Source organism: Homo sapiens, chromosome 6, assembly GCF_000001405.40.
Source record: "Homo sapiens chromosome 6, GRCh38.p14 Primary Assembly".
Classification (NCBI taxonomy): domain Eukaryota; kingdom Metazoa; phylum Chordata; class Mammalia; order Primates; family Hominidae; genus Homo; species Homo sapiens.
The window spans coordinates 75,101,262-75,122,833 of record NC_000006.12 but is presented as its reverse complement, the minus strand read 5'-3'; the positions used below and the strand labels follow the sequence as shown (position 1 = coordinate 75,122,833).

Sequence of the window (21,572 nt, the reverse complement as noted above, 5' to 3'; positions counted from 1 at the left end):
GATTTATTAAGGTTGATCTCTCAGCATTTGAGGGCAATTCTCTAGCACTTTGTCAAATTAAATTTAGTTAAATAACTACTGTATTATTCTTTTCTCATATGCTGTTTCCAGCATTTAATAGAAAGCATTTCAGATATTTTTATTTTATCTTAGAAGGATGTCGAACGTTACAACTTCGTTAAACCTATTATATAAGTAAAATTAAAAATTAAAAGTGTATTATTGTGGGGTAAAATAATAATGGATTCCTTTAAATTAGATACAGAAAGAAATTCAGTAAATAATCTTGGTTTAAAAACAAGTTTTTTCTTTTTAAATAGGCTTTATTTTCTAGAGTAGTTTTAGGTTCATAGCAACATTGCAGGGATGATGCAGAGATTTTTCATCTCCCAGACAGACTGCCCTTCCCCACACATGCCCAGCCTCCTCCACTATTAACATCCCACATCTGAGTGGTACGTTTGTTACAACCGATGAACCTACATTGACACATCATCACCACCCAAAGTCCACAGTTTGCGTTAGGGTTCACTCTTGGTGTTATACTTCTATATGCTAAGTTTTTATAAACTAAAATTTTGTTAATTGTTTTTGGAATTTTTTCTTAGCCTCTAAGTCTAGATATTCCAATAAAAATCTTCTCCTTTCCTGCATATGATTCTAGTGGCTTAATTTAAATTTTACAAAGGACTTGGCCAGGTGCGGTGGCTCACGCCTGTAATCCCAGCACTTTGGGAGGCCGGGACAGGTGGATCGAGACCATCATGGCCAACATGGTTAAACCCGTCTCTGCTAAAAATAGAGAAATTAGCTGGGCGTGGTGGCACATGCCTGTAGTCCCAGCTACTCAGGAGGCTGAGGCAGGAGAATCACTTGAACCTGGGAGGTGGAGTTTGCAGTGAGCCAAGATCATCACACCACTGCACTCCAGCCTGAAGACAGAGCAAGACCCTGTCTAAAAAAAAAAAAAAAAAAGGACTTATTTGCATAAAGTCAATCTTTAATAATTACATTTCAAATCTCCAAACTTTTTATTTGATTTCTCCTCTCATTTATTGTTCAAAACTACTTGAAGAGTTCCATTAAGTAAGATTGTATCTTTGCATAATGGATCTAAACAAATGGAGTAATTCCAGAGCAGGTATTGAGGGTCCCCGCAATGCTTCTTAAATTTATTGTGCATGTGAGTCATCTTATTACTGCTGGTACTGATTCAGGAAGTCTGGGGTAGGACCCAAGATTCTGCATTTCTAACAAGCTCCCAGGCAGTGCTGTTGCTGCAGAACCACACTTTGCGTAGCAAGGTGTTATATTGCATTTTCAATTATGTGATTTCATTTAAATGAAAGAATTCATGAGATTTGGGGCTTCCTCTGCTTTCTTTTTTTGCAGTATGCAAAGGGGCCAAGGCAGATATTGTGTTCTTGACTGATGCCTCCTGGAGCATTGGGGACGATAATTTTAACAAAGTTGTAAAATTCATCTTCAATACTGTGGGAGGCTTTGATGAAATCAGTCCTGCTGGGATTCAGGTTAGTGTCATTCCGCCAGTGGCTACTCATTTGTGATGTCTTGCCTTTCCTTTGAACTTCTCTTTTTAAGTAAAAAGTCTTTTCAATATAAACTCTGTTTTGACCTTCTCCTATTTGCTATTTCTTTTATTCATGTATTTTTGGGAGGGAATTGGGTATAAATGATAAATCAATAGAAAAATAAATGTTCCCTTAGTTTTTATCTTTGGCTAGATAATATTCCTGTTGGAGAACTTAGGGGATTCTAAGGGACTCTAACTTCCTGCTTAAAACTTCCAATCATGACACATTTCTATAGAAGTTCATCCAAAGTTCTGGATATTAAATTCTTTGTGATTGTCATCCCCTGTGAAGTTAGAAGAATCAGTGATAAACAGTGACTGGAGTGGGTGTGTGGAACTTGCTGCCTCTATCATTACTTTGCAGATAATTACCTTGACCAGAAGAAGGTCCATTGTTGAGCTAAAGCGTATTTCATTTGTTTTTTTAAAAGGATAACTACCAATTATCTTGCTCTGAAATCACTCCAAATATATTTGTTATACTGAAGTACTTAGAGAAGTTTATATTTCCATGAGGGAGGGGCCTCAAAGAATAAATCATCATGTAACCCTAACACAGTTAAAAGACCCAATTAAAATTTCACCCCCTCTGGTGAGGTTCCATGATGGCTTTACCCATTCCATGCTTTTGAATTATTTTGTCTATATTGCTGCATTACAACAAATATCACTTCATATTGTCATTAATTGTGTGACTCTGTTCTGTCTAATCTTCTATCTAAATCATTGACTCCTTAAAGCAGAAGACTATCTTTTTAAAAAACAATTCTCTCCTTTTCTTTCCCATTTCTTTGGTGAATTTTCTTCTTTATTTTGGCAGTTTGATCATCATTGTGGCATTATGAAAATAAGCTATTTTGAAATAAACCACAAACAATTTCATCAACAAAACTTGTCCTCTTTTATGGAATAGTAGTATACTAAATTTCAAATCCTCAAATAATCCTCTGGACATTGATCCAACCCAAGAAGAGTAAAAATTCACCCTAGTTATATTCTTAATTTAATGTGGTTATATTCTTAATTTAACCACATTAATTCAACTAGCAAGCTTTTTTCATCCTTTTAGGAATTTGTATTTCTAAAAAAAATACTGATCATATTTTATTAACATCTATGTACCAGTTACTTTGTATACAGGATTATTAGTCTTTAAAACAATCCTAGAAGGTAAGTATAGTTATCCTCATTTTACTGATAAAAAAAATCCATTGTCACATAGCTATTAAATGCCAGAGCTAGGATTTGAACCCAGCGATTCCTGAGTACAAAGTCTGTACTTTTTCCACTAAATCCCATTTTCAATGAGGTTGTGATGAGGGATGATTATAATCACACATGTGACATTTCTGTATTGCCATAAAGAACGGATATAGTCAGTGGGAAGTAGCAGTTGGCTGAGTCAACTGTTTAACCAACATTTGGATTCGAGATGGTATGTTCTCATGTCTAATCCTGGGATCTCACCACTCCCCACCTTTATTCATCCCTTTCTATGTCCTAGAGAAAGGCACAACGTGAATATAGTATATTTTCATTATTAATGCCAATTATGACAATTTCATTGAAGATTGAAAATTAACGAATTTAATGAGACAAGTGCAGTAGATGTTGTAATATTAGCTATAAAGAGCTTACAATATTCTATCAGGTCTGAGATACTTTTTACACCCCCACCGCTTTATTCCGCAGCTAGAGAATCATTTGAAGATTGAAACATAAAATGAGATGACTTATGCTCACTGCCAAATCACATTTTCCTTCAGGTTTCATTTGTGCAATACAGCGATGAGGTCAAGTCTGAGTTCAAGCTGAACACGTACAATGACAAGGCCCTAGCCCTTGGGGCCCTCCAGAATATTAGGTACAGAGGAGGAAACACAAGAACAGGTATGTGTATATGTAGACCTTTACTCTTCAAGCATTTGTAGTGGCAGAACTGAGTGTATTATCTCATGCTGATATCCAGATTCTTATCAGTTGGGTGTGACTAATGGCATTTGGGTAGTTTTCACTGAAGTGACACTAAAATTTTCCATGCCACATTCTGTAGGCAAGGCCCTCACGTTTATCAAGGAGAAAGTCTTGACTTGGGAGAGCGGCATGAGGAAGAATGTCCCTAAGGTGTTGGTTGTGGTCACGGACGGTCGGTCCCAGGATGAGGTCAAGAAGGCGGCTTTGGTCATCCAGCAGTCAGGCAAGCACATACATGAATTTGATTGCACTTGAAATTTTAACATTTTTAAATGTTCACAAATGATTGCAAAAGACTAAATTTGCTGATGTTACTTTATTGTTTCTGTTTCACTCTGCACGGTATACCTTCGTAATGCTAGTTTATATTTAATTATGGAATGGTTTGCAACTGCTCAAAAATGACATGGGGTATTCTTTGTATAAGATGTGGTTCAGGATTGACAAGGGGCAAACCACATTTTCCCATACTGGCTGGAAGGCTACAGAAAGCAATGATAATGAGATGATGCTAGAGCAGGCTTCCTGCCATAGCAGAAATGAATCTTGATACTGCTTCCTGTGCAAGGAGAGAAAAAAGGAAGCCTTTAGCTTTAGCACATCTTTGCAGATGCAGACTTAATGAGTGCTAAAAGATATGTTGCAAATAAGGAGTATTGAGGTCTTAGGGAGTCATCTGTGGGATAGATCTTGCCAATCAAATATACTGAGAGCCTCCTGGTAACACTGTTCTTTGGATTAGTTATTTAAGATCATTAGAGGTGAAAGTAGATCTTTCCAGTACTTGCATTAACAGCCCCCCTACCCCCTGCTGTCCCAAGCAAGGTCTAAGGTGGATATATTTTTAGAGAGAATCTTATGCATAATTTGTTGTAGTAAATTATAAAGTAATTACATGGAACTTGTCATCTGTACATGCATGATTCTTTGGCTAAATTTATGAGTTATGATTAGTGCTAAGTCATACTGTCTTTTTTTCAATAGAGGTTGTTCTTGCTGATCTTTTATAAAATGTATTGCCATTATGTTATACACCTTACACAGATTTCTGCATGTTTGTGACTCCTGGTAGATTTAAGTTTGGGCTTATAAATATTTGCTTCTCACGTTACCTTATTTATATCTAAATATATTTCTAATTCCTTATATAGCTTTTTTTCCCCTGATGTCAAATTTAGCTTTCGGAGTGAAAAATGTGCTTATTTGTCATAGCCTAAATTTGCTTATTTGTCATAGCCCGTCTGTTGCCAGTGAGAGTTGTAGATTCCATTTTCAAGATGGCCAGAGTTCTGCCTTTGAGCCTGAGTTTCCTGAGAAAATCAGTTTCAAGAACCCAGATTTTAAAATAAGCCCATTCTTGACTTCTGAGTCACATAAGCTTAAAATATTAATGGCTGCAGAACTCATGTGTGTATCAGGACTGTGGATCTGTGGAAGGCAGTGTGCACCACATGAAGTCTTTCTGCTATTAAAATCTTCCTATTTGAATTGTTGGGATTTTATCTTAGGAAATCAAATTAAATGAATTCTTTAGACCAGAAAATAGAAAGACCTGGAAAAAGTATGTATTTATTAAAGAGAGTTCACGTCAAGTAAAAGGACTTGCTGCATACATTAAGAAAATACAGCATCATTTCTGATAAGAATTTTTTTGCATTGTTCTAACAACAAGGACAGAAAAAGAGATACGTGATTCATTCTATAAATGCTACTTTGCAGGGTTCAGTGTCTTTGTAGTTGGTGTGGCTGATGTCGACTACAATGAGCTTGCCAACATTGCCAGCAAACCAAGTGAACGGCACGTGTTCATTGTGGACGACTTTGAATCTTTTGAGAAGATCGAAGACAATCTTATTACATTTGTTTGTGAAACTGCCACTTCAAGTAAGTCACAGTCAACATGGATCTATAACCTCACTTATTCTGAAAAACAATTACTTAGTAGACAATTCTATATCCTTTGTGGGATCAAGTCTGTGCATAAATAGATCCTGGGAAATCACTTGAGAACCTGATGAATCACTGTTCCTATTGCGATCATGCTAAATGTGTGCTTGTCAGAAATCCATTTTTAGCCTTGAATATGTAATTTCCTTGTGTGGAAATAAAGTGTTTCAATATATCCTTTTCCCACCACCCCAATGCCTATGACATTTGGTTAAATTAATCTCAGCCTCAAATTGCATATAGAAGGCGTTTCTGTGAGATGAAGGTTTTCCCCATTAGTAATCAATTGGTATTTGTTCTGTCAACATCCGTGCTTCAAGAGAGCAATGAAGAAAAATGGTTCCTCAGAAATTCATTTGGTTCCCATTTGTTTGTTTGGGTTTAGATTTTCAAGTTCAGCTTTTTAACTACAGTGAAGAACCAAAAATTGATTATTTAAGTCGATTTATTCTTATCACCATCCATTAACACCAATTCTTGGGGTATAGGTTATGGAGGCAATTAATCCTCCATAATTACCAGGAGGCAATTTATCCTACATAATTGATCAGGGGTCTGTGGCTAGTCCAGACCCCTGATCCTAGACAGGGCTATGCTTTACAAATATAATATTCCCCTCCATTAAACATTATTTTAAAAACAAGAACTCTGGTTAGAGTAAACAGACTTTGTTGGTTTACTATGAAAATTTATGCTGAAGTTCGGAGTGGAGCTGCACTGATGAAAGTGAGTAGGGGGCTGGAGTGGTTTCTCTTCTGTCCCAAGTAGTCCTGGATGCAGCCATCTGGTACCCTCAGCTCTGAGGGGTCCAGAGCAAAAACTACTGCACACTTGTTACTGTTACATGGTGTTTGGTAGCCAGTGTGAGGCTTGGAGACTTGGCAGAGAAGAGGGTTGGGGATGGACAAGCTCCTCCTACCTTTGCAGAAATCTAAAATTCCCTGGGAGGGAAGTTCTTTAAATCTATTGAAAAATGTGAAAAATTCCTCCTGTAATTCTTTTTTATTATTTTTAAGAGTACTGTAAAAGTCCAATTGGATTAGAGAATGTTAGGGAAATATTTGTTACACTGGTTAATAGTATTTCTCCTACACGTAGGAAATGTACAAGAAATAATGTATAAAATATTAAATTGAGAAGTTATTTTAATAAATGAACAATGTCATTTATTACTTGAAATACGTTCATTGCTACTTTCTGTGCATATATAATTTGTACATCGTGTTGGTGAATCATACTTAAAGAACACTGTACATTGCAGGTTGTCCTCTCATTTATTTGGATGGCTACACCTCACCAGGTAAGCATTTATACTTTGGGGCAAATTAATTTCCAGATTTAAGCAATAAAATAATTAAAATGTACTCCGTTTAATATTTTCTTTTCTGATGTAAAGGTTTTAAAATGCTTGAAGCATACAACCTGACAGAAAAGAATTTTGCTTCTGTACAAGGAGTATCTTTGGAGTCAGGGTCTTTCCCCAGCTACTCAGCATACAGGATTCAGAAGAATGCGTTTGTGAATCAGCCTACAGCGTAAGTGTGACAACAGGAGGTTTTCCTTTTCTTAAGACCTGCAAAAAGTTCTTGGAATATTTGCTGACTTCCCAGAATCCTGGGACTTTAGAATTGTCAGAAGACTGCTTATGGATGACCCTGATTGGTTTTCTTAAATACAGTTAGGCTAATTGTTTCCAGGTTACATAGTTGTTTGCACACAGGAGACTAAGACTCAGGCCTCGTTATTGCCAGATCCAAGAAGCTCATGCTGGTAACAGATTACTGACCCTTTTGAATTTAAGGCTAGAAAAGCTGTTAAAACAGGAAGGCAACTTAATATTTTGAACATCTCTCTCTGTGGTGCAGAATACTGGATGGAATAAGTGCAGACCGAGAGCATTCTTTTTAGTGTTTCCGACCTCTAGAAAATGAAAGGTAGTGTTTCTTGTCCATGATCAGACAGTTGGCATGTAGTTTTTATTGGCTGATGCTCTAGCAATCTGTTGTGTAGCTGTAGATGTTATTTTACTTCATGAATGTTTGCACCTGAGTATGATAACTGAACTCTGTATTTCTTATTCATTAAAATGAAAACTTTTTATGCTGAAAAATATGTTTGCCAATTTATGGAAAGAAAAGAACAATGAGAAATTAAGGTATTGTAAGCTCAGGACAGGGTCAGGAATGATGTCTGAAATATGAAATGCTCTGAGAAAGCTGATGGAAAATTCAGACTAAAACCAAAGCTAATTTATTTTAAGAGGCAGAGATTGTATTGTTGTAGTTTGACCACATTGTAAGTCTCTAACTCCTTTAATGGTTAACCATGTTGGCTCGGAGTTCTAGGTTTTTCAGTGAACTGTAATACCCAGTGTTTAACTCTTCCAGTCAGCTCAGCGTATGATTTCTACATTTTAACTTATGACAGCCTATTGTTTTCTCAAGCATCAGAACTTTTGGCTGAAAGGAAAGAAACATAAATACAATTACATAATTTTTTCACAAGCACTAATTAAGGAAGGAGAAAAATGGGCTAGGTGAGAGATGAGTTGATGTGAAGAAAATATTTTTAACATAGAATATTATAAAGATAGTTCTTGAACGTATAAAAGACATCATGTCAGCTTACCCAGAGCATATGTTTTAAAAGCAAGATGGCATTAGTGGTGTGGTATTAGGACATGAAAGCTTTGTGTCCTCTATCAAAATTCATGGAGGAATAGCTTCTTTTCTATGAGCTTATTATCTGGTTCTTTTTCTTACCTTCAGGGAGAAAGTGTTATTAAATGTTCTCAGATAGAAAACCATCAATTCCACTTCAAAGATTCCCCCAGAACAATGATTGACTAAACTCTGGAGGGACACATGGGACCAATTTTTTGTTTTTTGTTCTGTCTTACAGCTGAGGGCCAATAAACATTTCCTTTCAATCAATTCCCATCCTTTTATCATCACTAAATGTTTGCACATGTATATGGCCTTCATATTTAAAATGGATTTTGTTTTTGGGAATATATGAGCTCTGGGGGTGATTTATTTGATTTCAGGGGAGAAATTTGGAAGTGTAAAAAGTATTACTGATAGGGAGGGAGAGAGAAATTAAAACCTTAAGCCATTTTATGATCTCATACAGCTGACATTGGAAATTAAGTATATTTAGTAAGATTCATTCTCTTTAAATGATACCCATAGTCATAATGTTTATCATTCTAAAATTATCATATAATTTTATAATACTCTGTGTCTAGAAAAATTAGTTATTAATAGTAGGATAAAAGACTATTTTGTAATTTCCCAGACTTTTGTGACTTTATCAAATTAGAAGTAATCGATTATAATTTACATAACTGGTCTTTAGTGCTTGTTCTTTTGATGTGCTTCCTAAATTTTTCTCCTTCTAAGGAGAAGTCAGAAGGAGCCAGATTAGTATAAATAGCCTCTAATACTACCCATATGAGATTCTGGTGCAAAGATTTAAAAGAGTATCTGTTCTTGATGTTAAAGCAATCAATCTTTCTTTCTTCCTTTCTTTTTTTCTTTCCTCTCCTTTTTCTTTCTTTTGTTTTATCCAACAGAGACCTACACCCAAATGGACTCCCTCCTTCATACACGATTATATTATTATTCAGACTTCTCCCAGAAACTCCCAGTGACCCTTTTGCAATTTGGCAAATCACAGACAGAGACTACAAACCACAAGTTGGAGTGATTGCAGATCGTAAGAATTTTTATCTTAAGGCACATGCATACTTAGTTTTGATTATGTTTTTCTTTTCTCTTTTAAAAAACTTTCTGAATATAGACTATATATATATTTATTTGATATATACTTTTATGTTTGAACTTTTCCAAGTATAACACATCAGTAAATATCCTAATTGCATTTTATCATAACTGAAATTATTATATTTTTAAAGAAATCTCTCCAACAAGAATTATTTGCTAATACTTTAAATAAAAATTATACAATGCATATGATTTAATAACACTTTTATGTTGATTACAGCTTCTAGCAAGACGTTATCATTCTTTAACAAGGATACAAGAGGCGAGGTGCAAACTGTTACATTTGACACAGAAGAAGTAAAGACATTATTTTATGGAAGTTTTCACAAGGTAAAAACATAAGATTATTTGAGTCTTATTTCTAGAAAAAAATATAAAACAAATTTATTATTTATTAAAATGTCATGTTAAATTGGCAGAATTATAACTATGTCTTTTAAAAATAAAATCTTGTTTTAGAGAATTTGGTTAATTCAAATAATATTTAAAATAAAACAATATACTAATCAAGAGATAACGAGTAATATTTTGATTTATTTTTAATGCTTATTTCTTTTTAAAATTTGAATCATACTATATATAACATTATCCACCTACTTTTCTGCTTACCATTTGGTTATGAATCTTTATGTTATTTAGTTTGAAAAGCTTAATTTTAGTGGATTATGTTTTAATTGATAATATTTCTTCTGCTTGCTTTTTATTGAAAAGTACAAACATGCCAGTGAAATGCAGAAATTGATATTTCTTCTGCTTGTATTTTATTGAAAAGTACAAACATGCCAGTGAAATGCAGAATAATTATTTTTATCAATCCAAAAGTTATCAATATCTACCAAAATAATTAAGATAAATGTTTATGAGATTAATTTTTATGTGAACACACTTATTCTTTAAAAACACAATTCTCTAGAAAATCTTATTAAAAGTTCTAAGATGCATTCTAGGGATTGTCTATTCTTGATCATCTTAATCAATTTTCTGTATGTCAACATCCAGCAGATAGTAGAAACTTTTTTTTTCAGGTTTCTAAAGGACAATTCGTTGACAAATAAGAAGCACTTCTTACTTAGAAAATACTGAAGTTAGAAGCATTAGAAATAAAAAGAACGATCTAGGTTAGGAATGGAAGTTAGGAATAGACTTTTTAAAAAAACTTCTATTTTAAGTTCAGGGGTATGTGTGCAAGATGTGCAGGTTTGTTACATGGGTAAACGTGTAATGGGGGTTTATCATACAGATTATTTTGTCACCCAGGTATTAAGCCTAGTATCCATTAGTTATTTTTTCTGATCCTCTCCTTCCTTTCACCTGACACCCTCTGATAGGCCGCAGTGTGTGTTGTTCCCCTTTATGTGTAGGAATTGACTTTTTAATAGTATTTCTTCATCCATTGGATTATGTTAACAGGAATACCAGTTGTTGCACAGATGCTTTAAAATTTCTCCAGTGTGGCATGTAGAAAGATTAGCCCTTATACATAAAAGACAGATGTTTCCAGTTCAAGCTGATTCTCAAGTGAAAATTGAAGAAATTTCTTCTACCTGAGTAGATTTAGCAGTATTTCTTACTGTTTCTACTCCTGAGGAATCTTGCTTTCTTTCCAGAGTGTTGTTCTTATTCATTAATCAGATTTTTGATAAGGATGGTAAAGGACTCTCCTCATCAAGCTTAAGGAAGCTTCAATGTACATATTAGTGATAACAAAAAAAAAAGGAAAAACAAAAATCCCTGAGTACAATCGTATATCTACTTAAAGGTTTACAGACCTCCATAGTGAAGTGCAGTAAAATAAATGCCTCATCAGAAAAGCAAGTTCTACTTTAGCAAGTGTTATTGGCTTCAACTGATCTTTATCTGTTCTTAGATGTTGAATCTGGCAAAGGTCTGATGAACTTTTGTGGCTCAGTGAAACTTACATTTGAGTAACTTGCTAAAAAGGACTATTTTTATTTTTCCTTTCATAACCACTGAAGATATTGAGAATCTGATCATCCACTAAACCACTGATAACCATTTGGTAACTGTTATTTTAAAATTTCCAACTGTCATGGAATGCTTCATTTTATCTAAAAATTTTAAAAGGCAGTATTTTTTAGAGGTCTGTAGTGATATTAATGATTGCAAATCAGACAATTTTTTTTGACATTCTCTTCTTTATACCATTTGCCTCCCCAGAAAGGCATTTGCATTCTTGGGTTTTATATAATGCCTATTTTTTCTCCTCACAAGCTCTGTCTTTTCTTTCCAAATTCTCTACCTTCTTCTTTGTTTTTTATTTTAATAATCTTTCTTTTAGTTTCTCCTTTTTTCCCACTGTGCTCTTTTTTCTCCTCCATTCCTTAAACCCGTTCTTTCTTTTTAAACAGCTTTATTGAGATGTCATATAGAAAAATTGTATATACTTCAGCTGTATAATGAGATGTTCCGATATACACATACATTGTGAAATGATCTCCACAATCAAGCTAATTAACATATCTATTACCTCTACAGTTACCATTGTGTGTATGTGTATGTGTTGAATCAGTTTAATCTAAGATCTAGCATCTTGCAAATTGCAAGTATAAAATACCCCCATCCCATTGACCCACTCTCATCTCATCAATTCAAGTACCACCTTCAATCACTCTCAGCTGTTCACATTTTTTTACTGAGCCAAGGATTCAAGCACTCTTTCTTCACTTTCCGTCTAATTCCTGAATTGAAGTTTTTCAAACTTGGGATGAGAATGAGCAATATTTCAAGAGCAGGAAATTAGTGACAGGGAGAGGGAACTTTGGGGAGAGGGATTAACTAAAATAGTTTAATTAAGGAATGACAGACAGTTATCCATTCCTGGGGATTCTCTTGAAAAGCTTTTTTTGTGTCTCCCTTCTATTGTTGAAAGATGACATGGATTCATGTGAGACATTTATAATAAGAAAGAGAACTAGAATGGCAGAGTCTGGGAAGGGAGATGAGTGACAAGAGGGTCCCTATTTTTTTCTACTGGTCTGGGACCAACAACACATCATTTAGGAAATAGATTGGTTACTCTACACACTTGGCACAATGATCTACAGATGAAGGGCCCAATCTGAAATGTAACTATGCATTTGTTTAAACTGCAGTAAAACACACTGAATACCTTATAGCAAAATGTGCTTTTAGAATGTGTTTCTCTATGGTTAGCATTCAATGACAAGTGTTCCTGGAATAATTTTGTCACAAATTAAAAATTTTGAAATAATTTTTCTGGATACTGTGGTTTTTCACATGCCTTGTCAATGTTTGCATCTGTGGTTGTTCATATATGAGCCAAAAAGTTTTGGTTCTTATTAGATAAAAAATATCCTAGCATGGTGTTCTTCTTGAGTTCAGTATTAGTTGATTGTCCTGGGGGCATTTAAACTTTATTTTTGGTAAGTTATGTATTACTTTTATATAAAAGAAATATGGAATTTATATTTATCACAGATGCAGTAAACTTATGGTTTGGCGGTGATTCCATGTGGGAAAAATATTTAGTTTAAAAATACTTTAGAAATTATTCTTATGCTTACTGACTGAGAGCATTTAAGGGAATTTCTGTTCCTTTTAATTTGCTGCCAAACTTTTCAAAGTCATCATCAAGGGCTTACTTGAGTATTTGTGCTGTGATAAGTAGAAACTCTGAGCATAACTATAAAGACAAGGATTACCCAGGACCATTCTTTACATTGTTGAAATACAAACATTTTATTAATTATCTATACTAATAGAGTTGTTAACATTCTGTGTGTCTTCAGTAGCAAACGAAAAATAAATCAATATAAACTTCTTTCCTTAAAAGAAAATTGAATCCTGAATTCTATCGATTTCCAGAGTTGAATCCCTATAGAAGACATGTGCTAGTTCTTTACTGTATGAGGTATCTATATGGTATGCAGATTATTTCTGCCTGAGATTGGGGAACAACAAACTGAAAGTTGAATTTAGTAAAATTAGTGGAAGACATCTGAAATTTCTTTGTAGTGAATATAATAGTATATACATGATTTATTAACCTCTACTTGGGTAGCTCTTTATAGCTTACAAAGTCATTTCATCTACTATATCCTCTCTGGTCATCTCAGTAAGAGTAGATAGTGGGAAAATAAGAAATTATGCAAGTGTATGTGTTTGTAGGAAACTGAGACCAGAGGTTAAGTGGCTTGTCTAATTTCATATTATTAGCAAATGATTTCATCAACATTGCCAACTGCTCTTGGATTTTCAGAGTAAGACTTTTGATTTAGGATGAGAATAGCTTAAAAAACTTCAAAAAAATCTGATCTAAACTATGCAGAGTCAGCTAATTTTTTTAGTGTAGAAATTTTATAATGGAAACAAATTATCTTTTTAGGTTCATATTGTAGTGACCTCAAAAAGTGTTAAGATTTACATTGACTGCTATGAAATTATAGAAAAAGACATCAAGGAAGCTGGAAATATAACAACTGATGGTTATGAAATTCTTGGAAAACTCCTTAAAGGGGAAAGGAAATCAGCCGCAGTGAGTAACACATTTTTATTTCTCTTGGTACCTTGTGTTAAGATTGAAATGGCATTTTTCTAAACAACTCCTTGAGTTTTATTTTATTCTATTTTTCTCAGTGAGTTTTAAGTTGTCAAATTTCTTGGTCAGATCAAAACATTGGAAGAAGTACATTGAGAAAATATGTCCACAGAACATAATAATGTGCTTTAACTACTTGCTAGAAACAAAATAAGATGTCAAGGCACCAGGGAACACCATGTAGTCATTTTGAAACAGGATCAAATTGGAGAACACCACACAAAGAGTTGCCAACATACCCAGTGAAATAGAAAATAGTTCCTATTTTGTTCTTCAGCAATAATTGTTAATACAGATTTGTACAATCAGGATATTAAGCATTTGGGGACACTAGTTGCAACTTTCACCAGAGCCCACATTTGCTCACAGAGGAGCCATTCGGCTGCCTGTATCAAAAGGATCAGTGGAGTAGGGCAGCCAGCTGACCCCATTACTCACAACTTTCACTATCTCAGGTTTGAGGCAGGAGCGTGCCAACCCCATTTACAATGCTATCTAATAGGGAAAATTTAAATCTAAAGTTGTCATCATACCAAGTTAATTAAATTCATATTAAATGTCAATCAAAGCCAGGCACCATTGCTCATGCCTATAATCCCAGCATTTTCAGAGGCCAAGGAAGGAGAATTACTTAAGGCCAGGAGTTCAAGATTAGCCTAGGCAACATAGTGAGACCCTGTCTCTATAAAAAAGAAAAAAAAAAACCAATCAGCTGAGTGTGGTGGCATGTGCCTGTATTCCTAGCAACTTGGGAGGCTGAGGTGGGAAGACTGCTAGAGCCTAGGAATTTGCAGCTGCAGAGAGCTATGATGGCATCACTGCACTCCAGCCTGGGTGACAGACTGAGACCCTGTCTCAATCAATCAATCAATCAATCAATCAATGTCAATCAATAGACCTATTGTCCTAAAAGCAAAGCTAGCCTGTTTGGCTTCTATAGTTATTATTTTAAAAATGGCTTTATTTATTTAATTTAGCTTTCTTCCATGGACAGGATTTTCTTCTAGATTCAAAAGGAAAATTTTTATTCCACAATATAGAAACAATTAGTTCAAATGTAATAGAATTTTGATTAAAATCCAAACCTTCTGTTGAATATTGAATCTGATATTTAAGTATAACAATTACATCAGGTTTTTAAAATAATAACATTGTCTAAACAACTTTTTACTTTTTATCAAAAGTGGTTTATTTTTAAACTATAGAAAGATATAAAATATATGCTATCTTGAAATAGTTGAGGATATCAGAAAAGTTATTGGTCAAGCACTTGGTAATAATTTCTAAAAAGAAGAGCATCAATTGTAGAATAAGTGAAGACTTGTTTCTTTAATTTACTTTAATGTTACTTTTCTATAAGGGTGGGCTCTTAAAGCTTGATGTAGGCTGAGTGTGGTGGCTCATGCCTGTAATCCCAGCACTTTGGGAGGCCGAGGCGGGTGGATCATTTGAGGTCAGGAGTTTGAGACCAGCTTGGCCAGCATGGTAAGACCCCGTCTCTACTAAAAAAACAAAAATTAGCTGGGCGTGGTAGTGGGCGCCTGTAATGCCAGCTAATTGGGAGGCTGAGGCAGGAGAATCTCTTGAACTCAGGAGGCAGAGGTTGCAGTGAGCCAAGATCACACCACTATACTCCAGCCTGGGCAACAGTGAGACTCCATCTCAAAATAAAACAAAAACAAAAAACAAATTTGATTGAAATGTGTGTGGGCTTCAAATTCATTTAATTATAGAAATTAATATTCTCTTAAAAAATAACACAAGGCTGGGCACCATGGCTCACGCCTGTAGTCCTAGCACTTTGGGTGGATCACTTGAGTCCAGGAGTTCAAGACCAGCCTGGCCAACAGGGTAAAACCCCGCCTCTATTACAAAATACAAAAAAATTAGCTGGGCATGGTGGTGCACGCCTATAATCCCAGCTACTCGGGAGACTGAGGCACGAAAAGCATTTGAACCTGGGAGGCAGATGTTGCAGTGAGCCAAGATCCCACCACTGTACTCCTACCTGGGCAACAGAGTGGGACTCTGTCTCAAAAAAAAAAAAAAAAAAAAGAAAAAGAAAAAAGAAAAAAAAAAAGAAAATACCTAACAAACAAGTGGAACAAAACTCACTCAAACATTGCATTTCAGCCAAAGAGGTGAATCAAGAGTGGGAATCTCACATACACCTTTCACTTTTCTATCTCTTTCTCGTAGACATATGTTCAAACATGCATTTTGGCCAAAGAAGTGAATCAGGAGTGGGAATCTCACATACATGTTTCACTTTTCTATCTCTTTCTCGTAGGCATATGTTTTCATGGTCTTTCCTCATGAAGTAAGGATCACATTGCTCTCAATGGCTCACACCCTTGAGAGAGTATGTGTGAGAAGTTGGCAATGTTAAAATGTGGAAGTGCCAATATAAAATGTTTTTCATGCATCTTTAGCTGATGTTGCTGTTGGTTGTTTGCAGTTCCAAATCCAGAGTTTTGACATTGTCTGCAGTCCAGTGTGGACCAGTAGAGACAGATGCTGTGATATTCCCTCTAGGGTAAGTAAAACAGAATTGAATTCTGCCATGGCTTTAACAGTCCCCCAGTAATAAACCCTTGTGCCTGGGAGAGGAAGTAGCACTGCACAGTTGTATATTCAGGATGGAGCTAAAAGACACGCAATGTGTGGGTGCTCACCAGCTACTACAGAAAAGCCAGTGCCTGTGTGATCCCTCCCTCACAAGCTGGTAATACACAGACTGTTTCTGGGACTTCTCCCTAAGAGAAAAGTCCTGCTGAGTTAATGTGTTTGATAAGACCACTTACTGTAAAGCCCTCTTATTGCTTGTAAAGTATCAGCATTTTACAAAACAAGCCAGCACCTTTCTGGATGACTAAGGTTTTTTAGATGGTAGAAATAACCATATTATTTCTTTTTGAGATGATGACTTTTCTTTAATAGTATCTATGTAGGTGGTAATAGTTACAAAGTTGAACGTTGGTGATGGATTTGAAGCTTTTGGCCAGCAAAGACCCACATACATCCACAGGAAGAGTGTGCATTATTTATTCAGCAAATATTTATTGAGCACCTATTATACGCTAGGCACCAATCTGTGTGCTTGTGTTAAGCCAGTAAAAAGTGAGTATTCCAGTGAAAGGCACTGGGAGAGAAAGAATTAATAAGGACATATATACTATATTATTGAGTGAAAGTCCTAGGATGCATAACAAATCAGGGCAAAGGGACAGACAGTGATGGTAGGTAGTAGCAGCCCTCAGTGATAAGGGGAGATTTAAGCAGAGACCTGAATGAAGTGAAGGACAAAACAATGTGGATAATGGAGAAAGAGGAAAGAATTTTGGATTTTTTTCCAGATGGGAATTGATATTTGAGGTACACAACAAGTCTCTAACACTGGATTAGAGGAAATTGGATTAAATTACCAGAGATCTCAGTGGTCTTGTAAACATTTCTTTGTCAGTGAGGTTTCCTAACGTAATGCATAAAATAAAGACATAAAGGAGCACAGCAAGTTTCAACATAAGACTATTCATAATGATAATTAAAATTATTTCTTTAAGTTGGGAAACAGACTTCCTTGTGCATGTAAGTGGGGGTGGGGATGGGAAGTCATTTTTTTCCTCTAAATTTAAAGGTAAATATTCTTTTCAAAATTTCAGAGAGATGAGGGAAAATGCCCTGCTTTTCCAAATTCTTGCACATGTACACAGGACAGCGTTGGACCTCCAGGACCTCCAGGCCCTGCAGTAAGGAAATTGAAATAGATCCTCTGGTTTTTCCTTTGAAATCTTTAGAGTGATTATCTATTTGCCAATATGGAGTCAGTAAAATACTTCAATTCATCCAGGTTTTCTAGGATAGAGCAAGCTAAATTGCAGACCATCTTTTTAGTATATTTGGACATCTGAAATGGAGTAAATCGGGAAGAATATTTGATTGTGGCATTTGACATATTTCTTCAGCCGTGCAAGAATGATAATATTGGCTAGTCTTTAGGAGATTTTTTCTTAAAGATATGAACCTGGATTTCCATCTGTAATTACATGACTGAAAATTCCTTACGTCTCCTGAAAGCTTCTTATATGTTTGGTATAAAGCCACAGCTGAGAGGCTGACCCAAGAACAACTTGTTGAGAACCTAGAACATGTGCATCTTATGTAGCAGACATATCATGAGAATAACATATAGAGAGGGTAATTTACACATGTGATATCATAAACTCTGGGTTTGGAATAACTTGAGTGAGAAGACTATGACCAGATTTATGCATTGGTTGGGAGGGAAAACCAAGAAAGTGCAAGGCAAAACATTGAAGATTGCAGTGATAGAGTTCATTGATCAATGTGAAACCCCTTGAGTTAGTCGATCCAGTATCTGATCTGGGCCAGTTTTGAGGATAGCTCTAATCTCCCTTGGCTTCTTTTAAGAAAATATGTAATTAACACAGGAGGAGCTCAGGGATTCACAGAACATGAAAATTTACTATTCTTGGGTCATAGCAAATAATGTAGACCGATTTTAGGTTAATTACAAGCCAGCTCCTCATATATAGAATCAAAATGTCACTGGGGTTACCATTCTTTTTTTCTAGTAACAGTGATTTATATTTATAATCATGAAATTATGTCCTGGATGTGACTTAGATGTTTTTGAGATGTTGGGATTTTTTCCCCTGTAGTAGTGAGGTAACATGCTTGAATGTCACTGTGATATTTATTTCCTCTTTGTTCAGTTGTTTCTGAATTCCTGTTAAGTACATGTTCTAATACTCTGAGCGATTTAAGATACTCTTCTTTTTGCCCATCATTTTCCCCAAGGAATGTAATTCACATAAATCCAAAGCTCATTTTTCTCTTTATTGTACACAAGTAGTATAATGTTTGCTTTTCCCAATAAACCTCAAATTTTCAAATGAAAATTTGAAATTTGAAATATAATTAAAGACACTCAGAATGTACAAAGTTTTGAAATTCTCTTGCCTCGCATATTTGTATGACATGAAATATTTGCTTCAGTATTTTGCAAGCAGCTGTAGAATAATAATTGTCTGGAAATTGCACTTTTTCTTGAAGGACTTTTTGTATATCAACTTCCTCCTATTTTCCTATGTTCACACTACTATGTGCTCTATGTATTTTAGGGAGGACCTGGTGCTAAAGGTCCCAGAGGTGAAAGAGGTATCAGTGGGGCAATTGTAAGTATATTTTAGAGTGCATTTAAATTCTTATCTATATGTTGAAATCTGGTTGTTCAAATTTTCACAAAGGGGGTATGTGATCTTGAGCAAGTCAGCTCAGGTTCAGTGTGCCTCAGGTAATATAATTACCTCTGTCTTATCTCTGGATGTCATAATGATGGATTAGACTAGCCAGAGAAAGAAATGCATAGGATGCATGTCATAGCTGTAACAATTACACATGGGGAAGCTGCAGAAGATCTTTAAGGCCTTGGCCAGAACATGGGGAAGCAGAGGGGGTACCCACACCCCACAGGGAGCAGAGACCCGCTAGAGAGCTGGAGCCTGTTGGGAGCACTACTGCTGCTGCTTTTTTCACCAGTCTCAGAAAAAAAATGCTGAGTGGCTGCGTATGTGCTCACAAGGGGTCACCTGCCCCTTCTGCCAGCTCCACACTGGTTTTCTGTAAGACAACTCAAGCTTCTCAGGGGAATATTTTATGAAGATAATGTGTAGTTTTTGGTCATAATATAATTAATGATAAAATAACCCCATTAGGAAAGGGCAAGATTAGGATGCTAACCCAGGCCTGATGCCAAGGTTGTGCCTTTTCCATCTAGACAGATTGTAAAAGAGCTCCAGCACAGGGCACCTCATCCATGGGCATCTTTTCTTTCCTTGCTTGATTTATATATCCTTTAGTCCCAGAAATAAGCTGAAGTCTAAGAGAAATGAGGACTAGCTTAAAATAAATCAAATCCAGTGAAACTTAAGCATTTAATCTCATATAAATCTATGAAAATTAATATATGAATATATTATATGCAATGTATTTTATTTAAAAAATCTATTTCTAATAGGACTTTTATGGAAATGTAAGTGTTCTTGTAAATTTATCGTACTTTTCAATAGTAAAGGGAAGAAATTACATTAATGAATATATTCATAGATGTAGATTCTTAAAAGTTTACAAAGATTATATGATTGATGTCTTAGAGTTATGATGACAAGTGTCTGACTAAATGTCAGCACTGAAAAGGTATTACATTACTTTGTGGTTGTCTCTCTCTTGTGTATTTTAGGGGCCCCCTGGTCCTCGTGGAGACATAGGTCCTCCAGGCCCCCAGGGTCCTCCAGGCCCTCAGGGACCCAATGGACTCTCTATTCCGGGAGAGCAAGTAAGCACAAAGCCTTTCTGTATTAAATGAGAGTGGTGGATAAACATTTAGTTAAATGAATCTTTTCTACATTTTGCCAAATCAAATGTTTTCTCAGATAATTCAACGAGGTTAGTCACCGAGATAGCAGCCTCTATGATGACTGTTATTTTAGATACGTAAATAGACTATGTAATAATATAAAACTGTGTAGAAAAAATTACTGCTACTTATTTGACTTTATTAAACATTTTCTTATAAGTAAAGTAGATATCCCCTATGTTAAACTATATTCTTTTAAGGTAGGTATAATATCCCATAATTATATAAAATTACCCCATAACATTGTAAGTAGAAATTATAACACAGCATTTGTAGTTTAAAGAGTGAGCATTAATTCAAAAAAGGTTTATTCATCTCCTTTCAAAAATACCCTTCTGTGCTCATTCTGAACGCTTACACTGGATTTATGAAGTGATGAAGATTTCATAAGTGACTCATGTCTTCCTTTTTTGCTTAATCTCTGTGAAACGCCTGAGAACTGTTTTCCCATTGCTCACTCTAGGGTCGCCAAGGGATGAAAGGTGATGCTGGAGAGCCAGGACTTCCAGGCCGAACAGTGAGTTGGTCTCTAAGTTGCCCTGTCATGTGCTATTTGAAAATTTCCTTTTCTAGTGCCTCAAAAGGTGAACCCAGATTAAGTAGCAAAGCAGAAGCCTGGATATGTGTTTCACCTCATTTCCATTTCATACCCTGGTCTTAACCTTCAAGTTGGTGCTATTCAATTCAGGTATCTGCTTGTTGACTGAGCATCTACTGTATGCTTGGCAATGTGCTTGGCTCTGTTCTCCTGTTTCTATTCAGAGTCTCTGGAATTAAAAAAAAAATTTGGAAAATAACAAAGATTCTCTCCCACACAGGAAGTATATTATAATGTTTCACTTGTTTGTTTCCTTCTGTGCAGGGAACCCCAGGATTACCTGGCCCACCAGGACCAATGGGACCTCCAGGAGACAGAGTAAGTTTTCTTGAGCAGGCTACAATGATGTTGGAAATGATGTCATATGGTTGCCTATTAATTAAGAACCCTTCAAAATCCAGTTTGCAAGGCTGGTAATATATCTTGTGGAAAGCTGCAAAGCTGCAAAGCTAATGTCAGTGGACCATCCAACATCAGATCAATCTCAAGGTCTTTGAAATAAAGTGGTGGGACTCCAGGGGAGTCTTTGAAATTTTAATTTTCAGAAAATTTCTTACCATATCATATTCATAAAAAGAAGTCCAGAAAAGGAATTTTAGCTGATTAAAAAGAGATTCAAGAATCTCAGCAAATTGTTTTAAATCTTAAAATTAAAA

The 21,572-nt window shown here is 35.5% G+C and overlaps 1 protein-coding gene across 10 annotated transcripts in view, besides 1 other annotated feature; it reads left to right on the top strand.

Annotated features, from left to right (window-relative positions):
* The window catches only part of COL12A1 (collagen type XII alpha 1 chain), a 121,728-nt gene that overhangs the window by 83,220 nt on the left and 16,936 nt on the right, over positions 1–21,572 (top strand). For all 10 annotated transcript variants that reach the window (NM_001424116.1, NM_080645.3, XM_011535435.2 and 7 more), the window contains 15 exons: positions 1,393–1,532; positions 3,361–3,484; positions 3,648–3,791; positions 5,288–5,452; positions 6,777–6,815; positions 6,912–7,050; positions 9,090–9,232; positions 9,521–9,630; positions 13,667–13,816; positions 16,338–16,415; positions 17,542–17,628; positions 19,024–19,077; positions 20,142–20,237; positions 20,782–20,835; positions 21,181–21,234. In NM_001424116.1, the coding sequence (NP_001411045.1) occupies positions 1,393–1,532; positions 3,361–3,484; positions 3,648–3,791; positions 5,288–5,452; positions 6,777–6,815; positions 6,912–7,050; positions 9,090–9,232; positions 9,521–9,630; positions 13,667–13,816; positions 16,338–16,415; positions 17,542–17,628; positions 19,024–19,077; positions 20,142–20,237; positions 20,782–20,835; positions 21,181–21,234 (1,577 nt within the window). The remainder of the gene's footprint in view (positions 1–1,392; positions 1,533–3,360; positions 3,485–3,647; positions 3,792–5,287; positions 5,453–6,776; positions 6,816–6,911; positions 7,051–9,089; positions 9,233–9,520; positions 9,631–13,666; positions 13,817–16,337; positions 16,416–17,541; positions 17,629–19,023; positions 19,078–20,141; positions 20,238–20,781; positions 20,836–21,180; positions 21,235–21,572) is intronic.
* Positions 2,708–3,907: an enhancer, noted in NCBI's record as "MED14-independent group 3 enhancer chr6:75828643-75829842 (GRCh37/hg19 assembly coordinates)". NCBI's record gives its function as "activates an origin of replication core promoter dependent on BRD2, BRD4, P300/CBP and CDK7 cofactors, and independent of MED14, by STARR-seq in HCT116 cells {active_cell/tissue: HCT116}" and the evidence as "EXISTENCE:reporter gene assay evidence [ECO:0000049][PMID:35650434]".